General features: G+C 39.9%; 1 protein-coding gene and 2 pseudogenes across 17 annotated transcripts in view; 2 read left to right on the forward strand and 1 right to left on the reverse strand.

Moving 5' to 3' along the window:
- Positions 1-2,027, forward strand: part of INTS6L (integrator complex subunit 6 like) — a 61,851-nt gene extending 59,824 nt beyond the window's left edge. For 11 of the 17 annotated variants that reach the window (NR_147256.3, NM_001351601.3, XM_006724741.5 and 8 more), the window contains 2 exons: positions 567-660; positions 1,045-2,027. Coding sequence is in view for 16 of the 17 variants with exons in the window: in NM_001351601.3 (NP_001338530.1) it covers positions 567-660; positions 1,045-1,153 (203 nt within the window). In the remaining variant the exon portion in view is untranslated. The remainder of the gene's footprint in view (positions 1-566; positions 661-1,044) is intronic. The other 6 variants (XM_006724740.3, XM_024452350.2, NM_001351603.3 and 3 more) reach the window with 1 other exon arrangement.
- Positions 3,796-4,677, reverse strand: ETS2P1 (ETS2 pseudogene 1; annotated as a pseudogene).
- SAGE4P (sarcoma antigen 4, pseudogene) overlaps positions 18,321-21,403 on the forward strand; it is a 34,840-nt pseudogene continuing 31,757 nt past the window's right edge.

A 21,403-nucleotide genomic window follows, 5' to 3' on the forward strand; every position in this document is an offset into this window, starting at 1 on the left:
AGACCAGCATTCCTTCTGCTAGCTCTAGAGAGAATTTCTTTCTTTGCCTTTTCGAGCTTCTAAGGGCCATCTGTATTCCTTGGCCCATGGCCCCTTCCTCCATCTTCATGAAAACACCCTTAGCACTTTTTCTCCTCTCTGACCTCTGCTTCTGTCTTTACATGTTTTCTCTCTGACCTTAACTCTACTGTTTCATCTTATAAGGACACTTGTGCTTACATTGGGCCCACATGCATAAACTTGGATAATCTCCCCATCTCAAGATCCTTAACTTAATTACACCTGCAAAGTAAAGTCTTTTTTGCTATATAAGGTAATGTATTCACAGGTTCCAGGGATTAATATGTAGACAATTTTAAGCAGCTGCTATTCAGCCTGCTACATTTGGTTAGTGTTAACAAGAGTTGCCCTAGTAGATGCATGCAGATATTTTGATAAGAATGTTAAAATACAAACTACATCTAACTTTCCACTCACGAAGAACAATTACTAAGGATGTACAACAATTAAATTTTATTTCCCATTCATCTTTATAAAAATACTGAAGTTTTTTTAAATATCTTCAGAATATGAAAGAATTTTCATTTTGCTTGAAGAAGTGCAAGGACCTCTGGAGATGAAGAAACAGTTTGTTGAATTTACCATCAAGGAAGCCGCAAGGTAGGTATAAACAGGAACTCTTCAATTTTTTGTTTTTGTTTTTAGAGCAGTAGGGCCCAGTGCAGGAAAAAGAGAGGAATAGGCTCTGCCTTGCTTTTTTCTCAAACCCTGGCCCTCACTCATAGTTAAGGCTGTCTCCAGAAGTATTTGGATTTATGTTATCTGAACTCAACTCATTCATCCTTCTACTTTTATCATAGCCTCAGGTAGGCTTGGGCCCTCAATTGCCACTATTGGTACTTGCTCTAAGACATATCTTTCCATGAGGACAATCTTTATATTCCTATGTAGATTGTAAGCTTCGATTTGTATCCCACACAGTGCCTTGAACATCATGAGTACTTTAAGTATCTTTTGGTTCATAAAATTTCTCTTTATTTTCAGGTTTAAAAGACGAGTCCTAATTCAGTACCTTGAGAAGGTACTAGAAAAAATAAATTCCCACCACCTTCACAACAACATTAGTCACATCAACAGCAGATCATCATGTTAGTGCAAAGACCAGTGAGAAAAAAATGACAAGTTTTCTGTGCTGTAGGATGGAACAGGATATTGTTGAAGCCTCCTGGAATGTTTGAGTCAAGGGAATTGCTTTCCAGATGCTAAGAAGCAGCAGTGGGGCTTTTGAATTTTATGATTATCTGGCAGTGAAAGCTGGGCTTTTGCCTTAATAATTTTTTAAAGTATGAATTGTTTTGTTTTGTTTTCCTCAATTGAGGAAGCTGATGTTATTAATTCACAGGCTAAATTCGGTAAACACCACTGCCCCTACCACGGGTAATGAGAGGTCACTCACTTGAACTTTGCCATTCCAGGCATTCTCAGAGTGGCGAGGGGCCACCTGCAAGTGGAGCACAACTTGGTGCTCTTACTGTGTCCTTCAGAAAGAATAGGTGTACAGAAAGGAAATGGCAATCTTATGTGTGCTGAACAAAGTTTTCAACAATTCCTAGTTGTGCCTTTTAAACCATGCAATATTCAGGATAGTTTGAATCAAAGAAGTAAGAAGCTGCTATTTGGGTAACTTATTTCTCTGTGGGAAGGGGCAGGGAGAGTCACCAAACAATCTACCTCCAACTCTCTTCTCTTTTGTCTAGAGACATTACAAAGTGCACTTGAGGCTGCCCCCAACCTCTGACATTTGTTCTTGCATGTGATGATAGAAAGTCTTCAGATGGACTTATACATTCTGTGCTTTGGAAGCACAAGAAGAACAAAATATGTGTATATTTCCTTTAATGTTTATACAAAAGTTTATATGGAGCAGTATTGTTATGTTTGTATGAATTTGCAAAAATTAAAGTGTACAAAGAGATTTTGATTTTGCATATATAAAATAAATCATTTTATTGATTTTCACAAGTTCATTAATGCTGGATAAATTTCTACTTATATGTTTCTTGTGATTTGTTACTCCTTTCAGAAAAAGAGTGTATGCTGTTAAACAAGTTAAGATGTTAACATAAGGATTTAAACTTCAAAACATCACTCACAGAATTGAGTGACGCTAGTGAAAAATCACAGAGTAGAGTACCCACGGACTAGTCACTTTCAAGAAACTTGGAAAACACTGGGGGAAAAAAAAACCTGTCAGAATCAAGTTTTATTGGAACTCTAGAATATAGTAAAAGGTTTACAGCAACCAAGCCAATCCTGAATTAGGAGAGAAGTCATTGAAACATGGTAGGGGAGCTTTGTGGCATTTCAACTCACCCTTGGAATGGCTGAGTAAGAAAGAAATTTGAGGCCAGGTGCAGTGGCCCACATCTGTAATCCCAGCACTTTGGGAGGCCAAGGTGGGAAGACCACTTGAGCCCAGGAGTTCAAGAGCAGCTTGGGCAACATGGCGAGACCCCATCTCTCCAAAATATATGTATTTTTAATTAGCTGGACGTGGTTGCACACAATTGTGGTCCCAGCTACTCAGGAGACTCAGGTGGGAGGACTGCTGGAGCCCAGGAGGTGGAGGCTGCAGTGAACTGTGATCACACCACTGAACTCCAGCCTGAGCAACAGAGCAAGACCCTGTCTCAAATAATAATATATACAAGCTGACTTCTGAAATGGCATGGCTGCTTACTTCCCACCTTCCTACCCCTCTCAAACAAAGAGGGAGTTTTTGCATTTTCTATTCCTGGTTGCAAAACACAAAGGAAAATGGAAAAATAGTTTGTGTGCATTCATGATATGCTTGCTCCTTTGAGACTCTCAAACAGCCAGCACCATCCCTTCCCATAGCCTGCTAGGAGCCAAGATGGCTTCCCAGTGCCTGTTTCTCGACCATTTTAATTTAAAAGCACGGTGAGTAGTATTAGCTGTGCCTTCTCTGCCACAGGAGAGAAAGCCTGGTCAAGAGGTGTGGTTTTGGATGCAATAAGTCCACTGCTTCTTGGAGACGTTCCTGGACATTCAATCGTGTCTTTCCTGGGTCCTTGGAGTAGTTGGTCAGGATGGGCTTCCCACTCAGTCCACGGGCCTGGGGCTGATTCATGGTGGTCCCAGAGACCTCAGCCCTCTGTGTTTGGCTGGAAGCCCAGAATGGTGTACAGTTCCTCAGGCATGAGCCCCAGCAAGTTCTGGACGTCACACAAAAAGCAGCACATATAGCACTTTCCCGACATCTTATGGATGATGTTCTTGTCATGATAGTAGGTAAACCCAGGCTCAGCTTCTTGTAGTTCATCTTGGGCTTATTTTTCCTGATTCCCCACTGGCAGGCAACATTGTCAGGGTTGGCAAGTTTAAACTCCCACCTGTCCCTATTCCAGCTGATGAAATGACTGGCAAGACTGTCTAAAATTCCAGGAAAAACTGCTGTGGGTGAATAGGTCCACTTTCTGTGAAGCCAGACAGCACAGCCACAGGTATAACTGGTTTGCCTTGCTCCACCGGGTTGCTCCTCTCTTGGATGTAATCCTTGAAAGGCATGGTCAACTTTTTGAGGCAGGGGGACTGACTGCAGTTTTCTTTGAAGCTCTCGAAGAAAGGAACCTGCTGCACATCCAGTAAGGATGACTGGTTGTTCCAGGTGCCTGAGCTCTCAAAGCTGTCTGCCTCATGATTTAAATGTTAAAAAAGCAGACAGCTTTAAATGTCTGCACCATTCTCAGGGGATTTGTGGTCTTTAGGCTTCCCAGAATTGTTGGTGAGCAAATTCAAGTTGCCTAGAAAGTCCTGACTGATGGAGCATAGTTGAGGCTGATAGGGCTGAGCTGAGACTTGGAGAACATCTGAAACTCCTGTTCAGAGCTGAGCACGCTGGGTGCAGAAGCTGGACACATGCTGTCCAGGAGGCTGCCTTTGGGGTAATTGTGTGTTTGCATACCATAGGGTACCTGCTTTATGCCAAAACCTAATGTATTGCTGTTAAACCAATGAGGAATTGAGTTCAGGCATGAATTTTCTTTACATTGATCTTTTGTCTTTTCTTGGCTTTCTTCGGTCATCTGGTCCAGATGTTCCCAGAAAATGTCATCCACAAAGTCAAGTACCAGCTCCAGAAAGTACTCCTTGCCAAGGTTATACAATACCTGGCCACTCATGCTAAGCCTCTGGAGATTCACGTTCACCAGACTGAACTTGTTGGTAGTGCAGATAAGCCCCTGGCATACTTACTGCTCCCTCCATAGCCAGGGTTTCTTTGGAAAGCCAAAGCACTATTTCTCCTTTTTGAAGCCACTGAAGGTAGCTTTTAAAGCTTGATTCATCACAGCCTTGCTATACAGCGTTAACAAGGACAATGCACAGTTGGCAAGTCATGAGAAATTGAATCCAAGCCTGTTGGCACTTTTTACAGTGTTTGCTCTTTTTTTAATTTTTATTTTATTATTATTATACTTTAAGTTTTAGGGTACATGTGCACAACGTGCAGGTTTGTTACATGTTTGCTCTTTAGAGAGTGAAACACAGCAGAGACCCATAAAAAGTGTCAAAGGCTGGCTGGTGCCTGAGTGTCCCTCCGTAACTGTTAGCCACAGGAGCTATGTGGTCCATATTCTTGATTCTAAAATCATTCATTGTGCTGCTGCAGGCAAGTCCAGAGCATGATCGGGGTGGTGGCTACTCAGGGCCCATGGCTGTTCGGTGTGCAATGTGTTAGGGCACACAGGTGCAGGCATGGGGCTAGAAAAGGGACAATCAGGGAGGCTGGATGCAGGCCAGGTGGCTCCCAGCACTCAGGGCTGGGGTGACACCGTGCTCACCCGCCATTGGAGCAAGTAACTAGCCCGTCCCCCATGCGGCATGCTCTTCAAGAGTGGGGGAAGGAGGGAGGATGGATGACTGAGGGAAAAGGGAAGGAGGGAGAGGAAGGAAGAGGGGAGGGGAGAGAGAGAAGAGGAGAAGGGAGGAAGGCAGGAGGAGGGGCCAATAGCAGCTTTGATCAGGCAAAAGAAACAATCAGTGAACTTGAAGATAAGTTGATTGAAATTATCCAGTCTGAGGAGTAGAAAGAAAGGAGAATTAAGAAGAATGAACGTAACTTAAGAGACTTATGGGACATCATCAAGTGTAACAACATATACACAATAGGATACCCAGAAGGAGAGGAGGGAAAGTAGCATAAAGAATATTTAAAGAAACATTGGCCCCAAACTCCCAAATTTAATAACAGACATGAATCTACACATGCAACAAGCTCAAGGAATTCTAAGGGAGATAAACTCAAACAGATCCACACTGAAAAGCATTATGTCAAACTGTTCAAAGACAAAGAGAATCTTGAAAGCACTGAGAGAGAAATTACCTGTCAAAAAAGATCCTTACTAAGATTAACAACCAATTTCTCATTAGAAGCAATGAAAGCCAGAAAGCCATGTAATTACATGTTTAAAGTGTTACCAGGAGAAAAAAAAACTGTCAATCAAGAATTCTATATCTGGCCAAACTAACCTTCACAAATGAAGGAGAAATTAAGACATTCTCAGATAAACAAAACTTGAAGGAGTTTGCCACTAGCAGCGTTTTCCTACAAGAAATGGTAAAGAGTTCTTCAGGGTGAAATGAAAGGACACAAGACAGTACTTAGAAGCCTTAGGAAGAAACATAAAGTACCAGTCTCAAGATAACCATATAGGTTACTTTTAGGTTTTAAGTTAGGGCTGGGGGGGTGGGGACGGGATAATGTGGAGTTAATGCTGAATGGTTACAGAGTCTCTGTTTAGGTGATGATAAAGTTTAGAAATAGGTAGTGGTAATGATTGCATAACATTGTGGATGTAATTAAAGCCACTGAATTGAAAAAAATAAATTTAAAAAGGCCAGGTGTAGTGGCTCACATCTATCATCCCAGCACTGTGGGAGACCAAGGCAGGAGGACCACTTGAGGCCATGAGTTTGAGACAGCCTGGGCAATGCGGTGAGACCCCATCTTTATTGAAAAATAATAATAGCCCCTGCAGCCACTGCCACCACTGCCCTGGTGGCTCTCGCCCTTCAGCCTGCTGGTGCCCCCGGCACCCCAGGACCCCTGGCTGCTGCCTGCCTTCCCTCTGCCCCTGCCACCCCCACCACTGCATTTCTTCCTGTCACCACTCTTCTGACGCGGCCCTCCCAGGGTGAGTGGCCTGAGCTCAGGTAACCATGCGGAAGTCCTATCTCAATGGGGTCTTCTACAGAAGCTCAGGAATCTTATCAGGAAGCCAACCTTGACCTTGGGTGACCTCTTGAGAGCTTGGGACCCACCACCAAGAAGGGCAGTGTATCAGTTTCTTGTGACTGCAGTAACAAATTTACACACACTGAATGGCTTTAAACAACAGAAATTTATTCTCTCACAGTTCTAGAGGCCAGAAGTTAAAAATCAAGGTCTGGGCAGGGCCATGTTCCCTTCACAAGTGCTAGTGGGACGCACCTTCCAGCTTCTCTCAGCTCCTGGCAGCTCCAGGCCTTCCATGACTTGTGGCCGCATCTCTCCAATCTCTGCCTCCATCTTCACATCTTCTCCTTATGCCTGTCTCAAATCTCCCTCTGTTTTTATCTTGTTAGAGATTGGACTGTCATTGGATATAGGGCCCACCTGAAATCTAGGTTAATCTCATTTTGGGATCCTTAATTTAATTACATTTGCAAAGACCCTTTTATCAAGTAAGGTCACATTTACAGATTACAGGGCTTAGGGATGGGGGTGTCATTTTGCATGCCCCCATCCAATCCATACAGGCAGTGTCCTCTCCCTTGTGGGACTGGCCTACCTCCTCGGCTGTCTTCCCAGAATTTAATGTCTTTTAGGTCCTGTCTCTTGCTGACCTGGAGCCCTGGGTTCCCCAGTGCAGGAACTGATGGCACTAAGTACCTTGATAAAGCCCTTACTGCCACCGAAAGAAAACAGAGTGACCATCTTTCCCCTTCTCTGAGTTAAGGCCAAGTGCCTCTTCCTGTTGGCTTGCTCCTCCGCCAACCCTTTATGTTGTGCAGCCCTCCTCTCTCAGCTAAGAAACAGGAAGGACTCTTAAAGACAGCATTAACCAAGGGGAACCCCATTTTCAAAGCTTGGGAGCAATAACTGCTGCTGGTTGAAACTGACAATTATCACTGATAATAAATTTAATTTTACCCCCACAAAAATAATAATAATTTTTTAAAGCCACTGAACTGTATATGTCAAATTGGTTAAAATAACAAATTTTATGTTATACATATATTACCATAATTTTAAAAAATTAATAATGTAATATAACAGCCATCTAATTATACACTTTAAATGGATGAATTGCATGGTGTAAAATAAAGCTCTCAGTAAAGCTGTTTGTTAAACATTGACAGAATGATTTACAAAAGTGATCCAACTCTACGTTGTGTATAAGAGATTCACCTTAAAGACAAATTGACAAATAGGTTAAAAGTGAAAGGATGAAAACAGATATTCCATGCAAATTGTAACCAAAAGTGAGATGGATATCTATTACTAATATCAGACAAAATAGACTTGAAACCAAAAATTGTTACAAGAGACCAAAAAGGACCTTATATATTGATAAATTGGCCAACCCATCAAAAAGTTGTAAAAATTATAAATATATGCACCAGTCAAGACAGCCCCAAAATAAGTGAAGCAAAAACGGACATATTGAAGGGAAAATATACAGTTCTACAATAATAGTTGGAGACTTCAATAATGGATAGAAGTACTAGTCAGAAGAAGGATGAGTAAATAGAAGACTTGAACACTATAAACTGATTAGGTCTAACAGACATAAATAGAACACTTGTCCCAACAACACCAGACTATACATTATTGTCAAATGCACATGGAACAGTCTCCATGATGGAAGGTATGTTAAGCTACAGAACAAGTTTGCATAAAATTAAAAAGATTGAAATCACACAAAGTATATCCTCCAACCAAAATGGAATGGAACTAAACATCAATAACAGAAGGAAAATTGGAAAATGTATAAATATGTGGAAATAAAACAACACACTCTTAAATAACTAATGGATTAAAGAAAAAGTCAAAACAGATGCCTATAGAACACTCCACCAACCATAGCAGATCACACATTCTTCTAAAGTGCTCATGGAGTGTTCTCCAAGATCAACCATATATTAGGCCACAAAACAAATGACAATAAGTTTAAAAAGACTAAGTCATACAAAGTATCTTCTTAGAGCATAATGGAGTCAAACCAGAAACTAATAACAGAAGTTGGACCCTTACCTCACAACACATACAAAAATTAACTCAAAATGGATCAACATCAAAATAAAAGAACTACAACCATAAAACTCTTAAAAGGGAACTTTGGAGTAAAGGTTCATGACCTTGGATTTGGCAATGACTTCTTAGATATGACACCAAAGCAAAAGCAAAAAAAAATAGATAATTTGATTTTATCAAAGTTAAAAACTGTGTATCAAAAAACTGTATCAAGAGCGTGAAAATGGCCAGGCACGGTGGCTCATGCCTGTAATCCCAACACTTTGGGAGGCAGAGGCAAGCGGATCACCTGAAGTCAGGAGTTCAAGACCAGCCTGGCCAATATGGTGAAACCTCGACTCCACTAAAAATACAAAAATTAGCCGGGTGTGGTGGCACACACTTGTAATCCCAGCTACTTGGGGGACTGAGACAGTATAATCGCTTCAACCCAGGAGATGGAGGATGCAGTGAGCCAAGATTGCGCCACTGCACTCCAACCTGGGCAATAGAGTGAGGCTCTGTCTAAAAACAAAACAAAACAAAACAAAAGAGTGTGAAAAGACAACCACAGCATGGGAGAAAATACTTGCAAAACATACATCTGATAAGGGTCTAGTATCCATAATATAAAAAGAACTCTCAACAACAAAAAGATGAATAATGGGCAGAGGAGTTGAGTAGACTTTTCTCCAGTGAAGACATACAACTGACCAACAAGTACATGAAAAGATGTTCAACATCATTAATTACTAGAGATACACAATCAAAATCACAATAAAAACCACAATTCATACCTACTAGGATGGCCATAATTTTTAAAATGAAAAACGACAAGCATTGTTGGAGATGTGGAGGAATTGAAACCTTCATACACTGCTGTTCAGAAAGTGAAAAGGTACAGCCATTGTGGAAAACATTTCTTCCAAATGGTAAACATTGGACTGTCATTTGACTGAGCAATTCCATTCCTATGAATGTACTCAAAAGAACTGAAAAAAAGGTGTTCATCTGCATGTTCTCATTTGTAACTGGGAGCCGAACAATGAGAACACATGGACACATGGGGCAAACAACATACACTGGGGCCTTTTGCGGGGCGGGCAGAGGGAGAGCATTAAGAAGAATAGCTAATGGATGCTGTAGGTGATGGGTTGATCTATGCAGGAAATCACATGACATACATTTACCTATGTAACGAACCTGCACACCCTGCACTTGTAAACATGGAACTCAAAACAAAAGTTAATGAAAAAAAATAGGTGTTGACTATTCACAATAGCAAAGACATGGAATGTACTAAATGCCCATCAATGATAGACTGCATAAAGAAAATGTGGTACATATACATCACAGAATACTATGCACCCATAGAAAAGAATAAAATCATGTCCTTTGCAGAAACATGGATGGAGCTGAAGGCCATTATCCTTAGCAAACTAATGCGGGAACAGAAAACCAAATACTGAGTGTTCTGACTTATAAATGGGAGCTAAATGATGAGAAAACATGGACACAAGATGGGGAACAACAGACACTGGGGCCTATCAGAAGGTGGAAGATGGGAGGAGGGAGAGGAGCAGAAAAAATAACTATTGAGTACTAGGCTTAGCACCTAGGTGATGAAATAGTCTGTACAACAAATCTCCATTGCATGAGTTTACCTATATAACAAACCTGTACATGTACCCCTAAACCTAAAACAAAAGTTTAAAATAGGAAGAAAATAGAATGGGTGTTCAAACAAAAACTTGCATGCATTTGTTCATAGCAGCACTATTCACAACAACCAAAAGGTGGAAACAGCCCAAATGTCCATTAATGGGTAAATAAAAAATCAGAATGTGATATATACATGCAATGGAGTAATAATCATCATAAAAGAGAAGTACTAATACATGCTACAACATGGATGAACATTGGAAACATTATGCTAAGTGAAAGAAGACAGAAGAGCATATACCATGATTGATTCAATTTATATGAAATATCAAGAATTGGGAAATCTACAGAGACAGAAAGTAGATTACTGGTTGCAAGGGGCCAGGGAGAGGGGAAAATGGGTAGTGACTGCTAATGGATACAGAGTTTCCTTTTGGGATAGTGATGAAAAATTTCTAGAACTAGATAGTTGTGTGATGGTTGCAGAACATTGTGAATGTACTTAATGCCATTGAATTATACACTTTAAAATTGTGAAACTGATAAAGTTTATTTTGTGTGTATTTTATAACAACAATAAAGCTCTCCAGAGCAGCCCAGCTGCCATCTGGATATCACTGAGTGGTGCCAGGTGATTCCATGTTAAGCAGAATGATTGCCCATCCCAGCCCTGCTCAAATTCCTGAATAGAAAAATCATGAAATGTAATCATGTTTTTATAAGAAACAGCTTACCATCAATAATGGTATTTGTGTTTATACTTGGTTCAAAAATGTTTTGAATGGGACAAGGAAATTATAAAAGAATTCTAAAAGGTGCCTATCTACAATACATCAGCACAGGGAAAACTACCAAACTTTAGAAGCAAGTGGTATAACGAGGCTTAATAAGGGTTTAGTCATTTTCCTGCCTACAGCAATCAAAGTTCAACTAAAGAAGCAGAAAAAGGCTAGGCAGGGCGGCTCATGCCTATAATCCCAGCACTTTGGGAGATAGAGGCAGGAGGATTGCTTGAGGCCAGGAGTTTGAGACCGGCATGGGCAACATAACAAGACCTCGTGTGTACTAAAAATAAATTAGTCGGGCATGATGGCAGGTGCCTGTAGTTCCAGCTAATCAGGAGGCTGAGGTGGGAGGGTCTCTTGAGCCCAGGAGGTCAAGGCTGCAGTGAGACTATGCACCAATGCACTCCAGCCTGGAAAACACAGCAAGACCCTAAATCAAAAAGAAAAAAGAAAAGAAAAGAAAGAAAGAAAGAAAGTAAAGGAAGGAAGGAAGGAAGGAAGGCAGAAAGGAAGAAAGAAAGAAGGAAGCAGCAGCAGAAAAAGTATGTGATATGTAAGTTTGTTGTTGCTGCTGCTGTTACAAAAAAAATCGCCTTATGTAGTTACGGAATGTGGTTACCAAGTCTCTATACGAAGAAAGAACAGGCTATTAATAAAATCCACAAACATGATCTGAAAGCCCATAAGGACAGACAAATATGTCTCCATTCTTCTTGCCTCTGACCTTATTCTTGTTGCCTCTGACCTCGGTGACGAGGGTATTCTGTATAATCCAGGACCCTGCCTAAAGGAGCTAAACTCAAAGACCTTATCCTAAAGATAGAGAAACTGAAGGAGAATCCAGTGGAAGGTAGAAGAATTGCAGGCACAGCTGCTGCTTCATGCCAAAAGGTGAATCAGCAGGTCAGCAACAATGGGTATGAGCTACAAAATCAATGCTGTTTCTCCTCGGCCACATTCTCCAATCTTCAAAGTATCTCCCTGTCGTACAATCTAACTGGAAACACACAGGAAAGGGAATTGTCTGTAATGAATTCACCTAGCCAAGCTGACACATTACAAGGTGTACCTCTTGTCATTTTGGTACCCATGCACATCTCCTTAAGCCATATCTATCGCTAAATAAACACAGTAGCAAAGTTATTTTTCTGCCTAACATGAGAAAGTTTTCCTGCTTACAAATAACATATTAACACTTTTCCTAAAGAGGATACAAAGTCTAGTTTTTGTCTCTAGATATTGCACATTTTTCTTCAACCTGATTCACACTCTACCCTTAATATCCTATATCTCAAATACTGAAAATAAAGTTAAATCTTGGTTAATACATTTTAGATTATTAGCTAAGGGGACGAGAACCAAAAATATTTGCTTCATATGTATGTAAACATCCATATCAAGATAAGGAAGTAATACTCATAGTTATTACAGTCCTTGTTTCTGCATATGGCCATGTGGTCACTCCTTCCACTACCCATTTCATACTCCCTTTGTCCTCAGCAAGCATCTTCCCTGGTGACAGACCTTTTCCTGATGGGGTGACTCAAACTTGAATTCCTGAGGTTCACGGTTCAAGGCCATTAGCAGTCCTGATTGAATTAAGTTGTATTAGTTTCCATTGGCTTTCATCACTGGATACAGGAGTACTAAGAGGTGCTCTATAGGAGCTTCTGCATTTCAGACATATCTCTCATTACTCCCATTTTCATTAAGGGTCCCTGAATCAATCAAATCCCAGACTTGACTTGGTTAAAGACCCAAAAAAGTTTAAGGGTCCCTGAATCAATCAAATCCCAGACTTGACTTGGTTAAAGACCCAAAAAAGTTTATGCATGAAGGGGGGGCTTCTTGAAGAAGGACCCTTCATATGCTGAAATGGTATATACTATTACTTGTTCTCCTGTTCTTACCCAAAGGAGACTGAAGCCCTTTACTAGGGTGATGGTGCATTGGAAAAGGGAAATAATCAGATTTCTCCATGATTACAGGACACCAGCTCTACTGGCACTAATTTCCTAGAGAAATAAATGTCATTCTTGAACTTTCAAGAAACATTTGGCTTACTACTGGGCTTTAGTAGAGGCTGAACCCCTGGCTATGGGACATAATATTACCATGCCAGCTGAGCTGCCTATCCTAACCAGGGTGTTTTCTGACCCCCCAAATCATAGTGATGTGTAGGTACAGAAGCACCCCATTATCAAATTGAAGGGATACATAAAGATCACACTCAGGTCCTGGAGCGATAAGTACTTTGCAAGAGAAAGTGGCCCAAAACTCATGGCTTCAACTCTTGCTATATTTAGCTTCTCTCTCTTTCTTTGGAAGAATTCTGAGATGGTCCCCATGATCTTTACCCTCTGGTGTTAGTCTCATGATTACATTACAGGAAAAAGATAATTTTGCAGATGTAATTAAGCTCACTAGTCACTTGATCTTACGATAAGGAGATTCTCCAAGTGGGTCTGACTTACACACATGAGCCCTTTAAAAGCAGAGCATTCAGTATCATTGATCATTAGAGAAATGCAAATTGCAAATCGAAACCACAATGAGATATCATCTCACAACAGTCAAAATGGCTATTATTAAAAAGTCAGGAAATAACAGATGCTGGTGAGGTTGTGGAGAATAGCAAACACTTAATACACAGTTAGTGGGAGCGTAAATTATTAGGTTGGTGCAAAAGTAATTGCAGTTTTGCCATTACGTTTAATGGCAAAAATAGCAATTACTTTTGCACCAACCTAATAGTTCAACCACTGTGGAAAGCAGCATAGTGATTCCTCAAAGAGCTGAAAGCAGAACTAACATTTGACCCAGCAATGCCATTACTGTGTATATACCCTGAGGAATATAAATCATTCTAACATAAAGACATATGCACGCAAATGTTCACTGCAACACTATTCACAATAGCAAAGACATGCAATCAACCTAAGTGATCATCAATGGCAGACTGAATAAAGAAAATGTGGTACATATATATCATGGAATACTATGCAGCCATAAAAAAGAATGAGATCATGTCCTTTGCAGGGACATGGATGAAGCTGAATGCCGTTATCCTTAGCAAACTAACACAGGAACAGAAAACCAAATACTGCATGTTCTCACTCATAAGTGGGAGCTAAATGATGAGAACACATGGACACAAATATGGGAGCAACAGACACTGGAACCTACCTGGGGATGGAGGGTGAGAGGAGGAAAGTATCAGGAAAAATAACTAATGGGTACTAGGCTTAACACCTGGGTGATGAAATAATCTGTACAACAAACTCCTGTGACACAAGTTTACCCAGGTAACAAACCTGTACTTGTACCCTTGAACTTAAAATAAAAGTTAAAAAAAAAAGTCTGGCATTCATCCAATCAAATTCCCTCACTTTTATGATGAGGAAGTATGAATTGCCCAGGTCTTTTGAGTGGTCAAGGGCAGGACCAGAGCTAAATGTGAGCTCATGTGAAGCTCAGCATTTTTTACCACATACTACCTTCTACATGTTCGTGTATCCTGTGATTTTAATGCAAATAGCAATGTGTTTGGATTAAAATATCAAACATCAAAAAAAGAAAGAAAGATGAGGAAGTTATATTGATATCAGATAAAGGACCAATAAAATGCATTATTTGAGCATAAATAGTCCCTACGTAATGGTCAAAATTTGTTTCTCCAGAAACATTTAACAATTGTATAGTTGTATGCAGGTAATAAAACAGTCTCGAAAATATATAAAGCAATAAGTAGAACTATTGAGGGAAACTGAAAAATCCACCATTATTGTAGAAGATTTTAAATGTAATTATCTCAGTTATTGTTAAGTTGAACAGAAAAAAATAATAAACACATAAATGTGAACAATACAATAAGCAAAGTTAACTTGTGGCCATTTACAGAAACCTGTACCCAATAATTGGAATATAAACTATTCTCAAGCATACACACACACACACAGCTGTGATGAGCACGTGAGGAAGAGTCCCCTGCAGGGCTGAGATATAGCAACCAAGGAATGGTCCTCCCCTATCCGAGGTGGGAAACAGAGCATCCAAGGAAGCTCCTTCACTTCATGGCCGACATAGAGAAACAAAGGAAGGCATCCCCTAACATAATTATGATGAGAACCCAGGGAAGAGCCTTCCAACTGCAGTTATGAAACAACCAAGGAAAAGTCTCCTTCCCAAGGGCTGAGATACAGCCCCTTAGAGTCACCCATCTGGACTGAGATAGAGCATTATGGAAAATCCTTTCCAGGGCTAAGATACAGCACCTCAGAAACAGCCCCATCCAAAAGGGATGTGACAGAGCCCACAAGGAAGCATTCACCTAGGGTTGAGGTAGGGCACCCAGGGAAGCTAAGAGCTTTCTCCCAGGATTAAGTTAAAACCCAGAGGAAGATTCATCACCCCCATGCTGAGACAGAGGAACCCATGAAAGTCCTCTGCAGGGCTTGAAGAGAGCATATGAGGAAACACTCACAACACCACCACCACAACCAAGGGTTGAAGTCCACATATCGGGTAAGCCCAGCTGTTACTCAGTGTATGCCAGAGAACTTGTTGGGCTGCCACATTGGCAGAACTCATTGGAGATCTACCTTTGGGAATTTGAGGTTAGTATACAGGAAAGAATCCCTTTAACCCAGAGCTAAGATAGATTAACTTCCAAAAAGTTTATCCTGAAATACTGCTGAGATACAGTGCCTTGGAAAGAGCTCCCCACTACAGATCTTAAATGGAATACTCAAATAACCTCCCCCAACCCCCCAATGTTGAATGAAATTCTATCCTATTCATCTTAGCACCAATGTTGATATTCTGACCTTGCTGGGCGTGGTTGCTCACGCCTATAATGTCAGCACTTTGGAAGGTCGTGGAGGGTGGATTGCTTGAGCCCGAGTTTGAGACCAGCCTGGGCAACATAGTGAGACCCCATCTCTACAAAAAATAGGTATGGTGGTGCATGCCTGTGGTCCCAGCTACTCGGGAGGCTGAGGTGGGAGGATCACTTGAGCCCAGGAGGTCAAGGCTGCAGTGAGCCCTGTTCACTGCCACTGCACGCCAGCCTGAGAGACAAAGTAAGACTCTGTCTCAAACATAAAAATGAGAAAACAAAAAACAAAAAAAACAAAACCCTGATCTTGCCAGAGGAGTATGGCTGCACCTCACAAAATGGCAATAAAGTTGTTATGGTGCCTCACCACTGCTGGAACTTTCTAGAAACCTGCCCTCTAGGAGTTGTGGGAAATGTGCCCCCTAGGGCGCCCGGGAATGATGCGCATGGGGAGGCGTCTCACCATAAGCACCGATCACTCGTATGGTCCAAGCGCAATGGAAGGAAGGGAAGCTGCAGGCCACCACGTGCCCTGCTCCAACCGAACTCTGGGATCTGTGTGGGGCGCCAGAGTCCCTAGGAGAAGCCTCTCGCTCAGTGGGTGCCAGCCTAGAGAACCTGGAAGCGCAGCCCTCCCTTTCGCTGACTCTGGCGCCCTCTAAAGGCGGCCTTCAGTAACAACTGTACAGCCGACATAGGCGGAGGAACACAGACCCTTCTCACACAGCGGGATAAAAAGGTGAATTTGGAGCTGACAGGAAAATATATCTTGTGACATATTTGTCTGGCTTTGATATCGGGGTGATATTGGCTTCATAGAATGAAGTAGTGTTCCTTCGTCCGTTATTTTTTGAAGACATTGCCAAGTATTGGTATTATTTCTTCCGTAAATGTTTGCAGAATTTACACGTGAAGCCACCTTGGCTTGGCTTGTATTTGTGGGGAGATTTTAAATTACTAATTAAATCCCTTTTCTTTCAATAGTCCTATTTCGATTTTCTATTTCTTCTTGAGTCAGTAATTTGTCTTCTAGGATTTTTTTCTATTTTATCTAAGTTGTTTAGTGTGTTGGCATAAAGTTGTTCATAATTTATTCCTCTGAGTTTCTATAAGGTCAGTATTAATTACCCCCCTTTCATTCTTGATTTTGATAATCTGTGAGTCCTTTCTTTTTTTCCTTGGTCAGTCAAGTTAAAAGATTGTTAGGTTTCTTTCACTTTTTCAGTGAACCAACTTTTGATTTCATTGATTTTTCTGTTTTTTTTATTTTATTGATTTTCTTCTACTCTAATTTCCATCATTCCTCTCCTACTGCTTGTCTGTGTTAAATACATCAATTTAAAACTTCAGGAATAATGAATTACTTGTTTCATAAAGGAGGACTTAGACATACAGAAATGCTTATGATATTGCAAGTAGCAGTCATTTAGACAAGTTAACTAGGAGGAAATTTGCTATGCTGAAACCAGACACGTTTTTGTGTCGGCCTTTATTGATTTTGAAAATATCAAGTCTAGTTTGTAGGAAGGTGTTTATTGTATGAGTAGTTTATTTTTGAATATTTTAAAATTTAGAATGTCCATTTTCACTAAATCCCAGAAGTTTATTTTTTTCAAGCTTAAAGGAAAGTATGTATTAGCCAGCACATACACTATCCTCTTTGTGCTTTATCTCTGGTAATCCTTATGAGAGCGCCATGAGTTAGATACTGTTTTATGCCCATTTTATGGAAATAGAATCGTAGAGTGCATATTTAAGCAGCCCTCACAGGTTTATCCAGTTGGAAAAGTGACAGAACCTAGGTCTGTCAGATTTCAGAGATTGCACACACAAATACTATATGACACTGCCTACCGCTGTGAGTTCAGCAGAGAATTCCTTGTTTATATGGAAATAACAAAGCTGATAGTGTCCAGGATAATTGGCATCAGTTTACAAACCCTCTGTACCCCAATGTTGGTGATTTTAAGTGGGGTCATCTGTCCACTAAATTAATCAGATCTCAGGCTGGTCACACTTCTGAAATTATACACCAAGTTTGTGTGTAAGGGTATTTTTCCAGGGAAAAATATCTATAGATTTCAGCAAGTTATCCAAAGAGGGTTAGGCCCACTATTTAGCGTTCTCTGGATGATAAGAGAATGCCATGGAGCCTACACCCTTTCAATGGGGAGAATAGTGTCGATTTCTTTGCCATTTATGTTCTAGTTTTTAATCAGAGTGTTCTAGTCACACACACATAGTTAGCTATGAGGAATATCTGCAGATGCTGGTTCAAAGGAGTCAGTCACTTCAAATCGGACACTTCAAACGAGTCAGCCAACTCCACCTGAAGAAGTTTATACTTTTGGCTGTGTGTTTATAAATAATGGGCAGGTAAGTTAAGTAGGACAGTGTATGTGCTCATTAATACATACTTCTCCTTTGAGCTTTAAAAAATGAACTTGAATAATTCAGTGAAAATTGGCATTCTAAATATTAAAGTATTAATATTTAGAATTAGATTTTTAGTTGGGATGGTGGTGTAAGGGAGGTCAGCCCATTCTCAAACTGAGCTGGAGGCATAAGGGAATTGTTTAACCTAGTGGTGTGAACCTATAGGAAGTAGTGAGGGTGGACTGAGTCATGACTTAGGTAAAGGGAGATGATTCTAGATCACGGAACATGATATAGATTCTAGATATGAGATTCTAAACTGTGTTTGGTGCCAAGGCACACATTACTAAGACAGTCTGTGATCATGTACTCTCAAGAGGATCATATATTTCAGCTGTGTAGCACTGATTTATGTGCCAGTTATGTTCCAGTTATAAATCAAAGTGTTCTAGTAACACACATAGTTAATTATGAGGACTATCTGCAGATACAGGCTTCTCCACTTCAAACGAGTCAACCAACTCCACCTGAAGAACTTCATACAGTTGGCTACGTGTTTACAAATGATGGGCAGGTAAGATAACTATTTCTATTTCTGCCCTAATTGTGACGTTTTTAGTATAATTACTTTCTTATTGAAAAAATAAACGTGAACTATAGGTGTTAATTCTCTTGATTTAAAAGATAAAACATGACACGGGAATTCTTATGTGAACATAAAATGGGAATTTTTTGAACCAAGAGTGGATTCATTACACAAGGAACTAAGTTTTTAATTATCACATTTAATACTCATAATTGTTCTGCAGATGTGTATTACTATATCCCCTTTAGTAAGAAATAAAGGCTGACAGTGGTCAAATGGCTTGCCCCAAGTGACACATGATAGGAGGTAGAGCCAGGGTTTGAACGCATACCTTTCTGACTCCAGACTCTATATTCTTTCCCACTCCCCACAATAACTCCTTTCATATCGAGATTACAGTCTACAGTCTCTGTTTCTCTTATCCAAGTCTCTAGTGCTCTATCTAAAAAATGACTAAGTATTCCTCGTGGACTATGAAGCACTAGATGATGTTGCCATAATTGGATTGTCCTAATGGAGATCTTAATATGAGTTTTGTGTTGTGTATGAGATAGACATACTAACTCCACCATTAAAACATGAAGACAAAAGAGATTGCATCTGCAGTTGTGGAACAGACCATTGGCCTAAGGACACAGGTAGGCAATAATCTCTTCTGTGACAAAAACAGACTAAAGTTATTCCACCATATTCCCAAAACTCCTCAATTAATTAAACTTTTCCTTAATTTTCTGTGCCTTTATTTTCTCTTTTTTAGCAATAGAGATAAGAATCACACCACATTCATAGAGATTGGCCAAGGATTGCGTTAATACATGTAAAGCATTTAGAACCGTAACTGGATGGTAGTAGATGTTCGGTAAAAATGTTTTCACACATTCTAAGCCCCTATTTTATAGGAAATGAAAATGGTTTGGAAAATTTTAAAATCAACATTATATATAAATATATTTTTATTAAATACTATATTTAATAAAATTTATATAATAAATATAACTATTTTTATTATTATTGATATTTATTAATATAATAAATGTGAATTTTATTAAATATTAATAAATTTGTATAATAAATATAAATATATTTATTTTTAATAATAAAATATAAATTTTATTAAATATGCTCCTGCATATTTAATGCAGGAGCATATTCTTTTTTTCAACTTTTATTTTATGTTGTGAGGTACATATGCATGATATGCAGGTTTGTTACATAGGTAAACGTGTGCCATTGTGACTTGCTGGACCTAACAACCCATCACCTTGGTATTAAGCCCAGCATCCATTAGCTATTCTTCCTGATGCTCTCCCTACTCCTCCCCCACCACCTGACAGGACCCAGTGTGTGTTGCTCCCCACCCATGTGTCCATGTGTTCTCATCATTCAGTTCCCACTCATAAGTGAGAACATGCACTGTTTGGTTTTCTGTTCCTGCATTAGTTTTCTGAGGATAACGGCTTCCAGCTCCATCCATGTTTCTACAATGACATGATCTCATGTCTTTTTATGGCTGCATGGTATTCCATGGTGTATATGTACTACATTTTCTTTATCCGATCTATCATTGCTGGACATTTGGGTTCATTCCACGTCTTTGCTATTGTAAATAGTGCTGCAATGAACATACGCATGCTTGTATATTTATAATAGAATGATTTATATTTCTTTGGGTATATACCCAGGAATGGGATTGCTGGATCAAATGCTATTTCTGCCTGTGGATCTTTGAGGAATCACCACACTGTCTCCCATGTGGATGAAGTAATTTACACTTCCACCAACAGTGTAAAAGCAGTCCTTTTTCTCCACAACCTTGCCAGCATCTGTTGTTTCTTGACGTTTTAATAATCGCCATTCTGACTGACAAGAGATGTTATCTCATTGTGGTTTTGATTTGCATTTCTATAATGATCAATGATGTTGAGCTTTTTTTCATATGCTTGTTGGCCGCGTGAATGTCTTCTTTTGAGAAGTGTCTGTTCACGTCCTTTGCCAACTTTTTAAAGGGTTTGTTTGATTTTCTTTTGTAAATTTGTTTAAGTTTCTTGTAGAGTCTGGATAGTAGACCTTTGTCAGATGGTCAGATTGCAAAAGTTTTCTCCCATTCTGTAGGTTGTCTGTACACTCTGATTATACTTCATTTTGCTATGCATAAGCTGTTTAGTTTAATTAGATCCCGTTTGTCAATTTTTGCTTTTGTTGCCATTGCTTTTGGCATTTTTGTCATGAAATCTTTGCCCGTGCCTATGTCCTGAATAGTATTGCCTATATTTTTTTCTAGGGTTTTTATAGTTTTGGGTTTTACATTTAAGTCTTTAATCCATCTCGAGTTAATTTTTGCATAAGGTGTAAGGAAGGGGTCCCGTTTCAATTTTTGCATATGGCTAGCCAGTTCTCCCCGCACCATTAATTAAATAGGGAATCCTGTCCCCATTGCTTGTTTTTGTCAGGTTTGTTGAAGAACAGATGGTTACCGCTGTGCGATCTTATTTCTGAGTTCTCTATTCTGTTCCATTGGTCTATATCTGTTCTTGTACCAGGAAAACGCTGTTTCAGTTACTGTAGCCCCGTAGTATAGTTTGAAGTTAGGTAGCGTGATGCCTCTAGCTTTCTTCTTTTGGCTTAGAATTGTCTTGGCTATTCTGGCTCTTTTTTGGTTCCGTATGAATTTTAAAATAACTTCTTCTCAACTGTGAAGAATGTCAATGGTATTTTAGTGGGAATAGCATGGAATCTCTAAATTACTTTGGGCAGTATGGCCATTTTCACAATATTGATTTTTCCTATCCACGAGCATGGAATGTTTTTCCATTTGTTTGTGTCCTCTGATTTCCTTGAGCAGTGGTTTGTAGTTCTATTTG

The sequence above is a fragment of the Homo sapiens genome, chromosome X (genome assembly GCF_000001405.40).
Source record: "Homo sapiens chromosome X, GRCh38.p14 Primary Assembly".
Classification (NCBI taxonomy): Eukaryota; Metazoa; Chordata; class Mammalia; order Primates; family Hominidae; genus Homo; species Homo sapiens.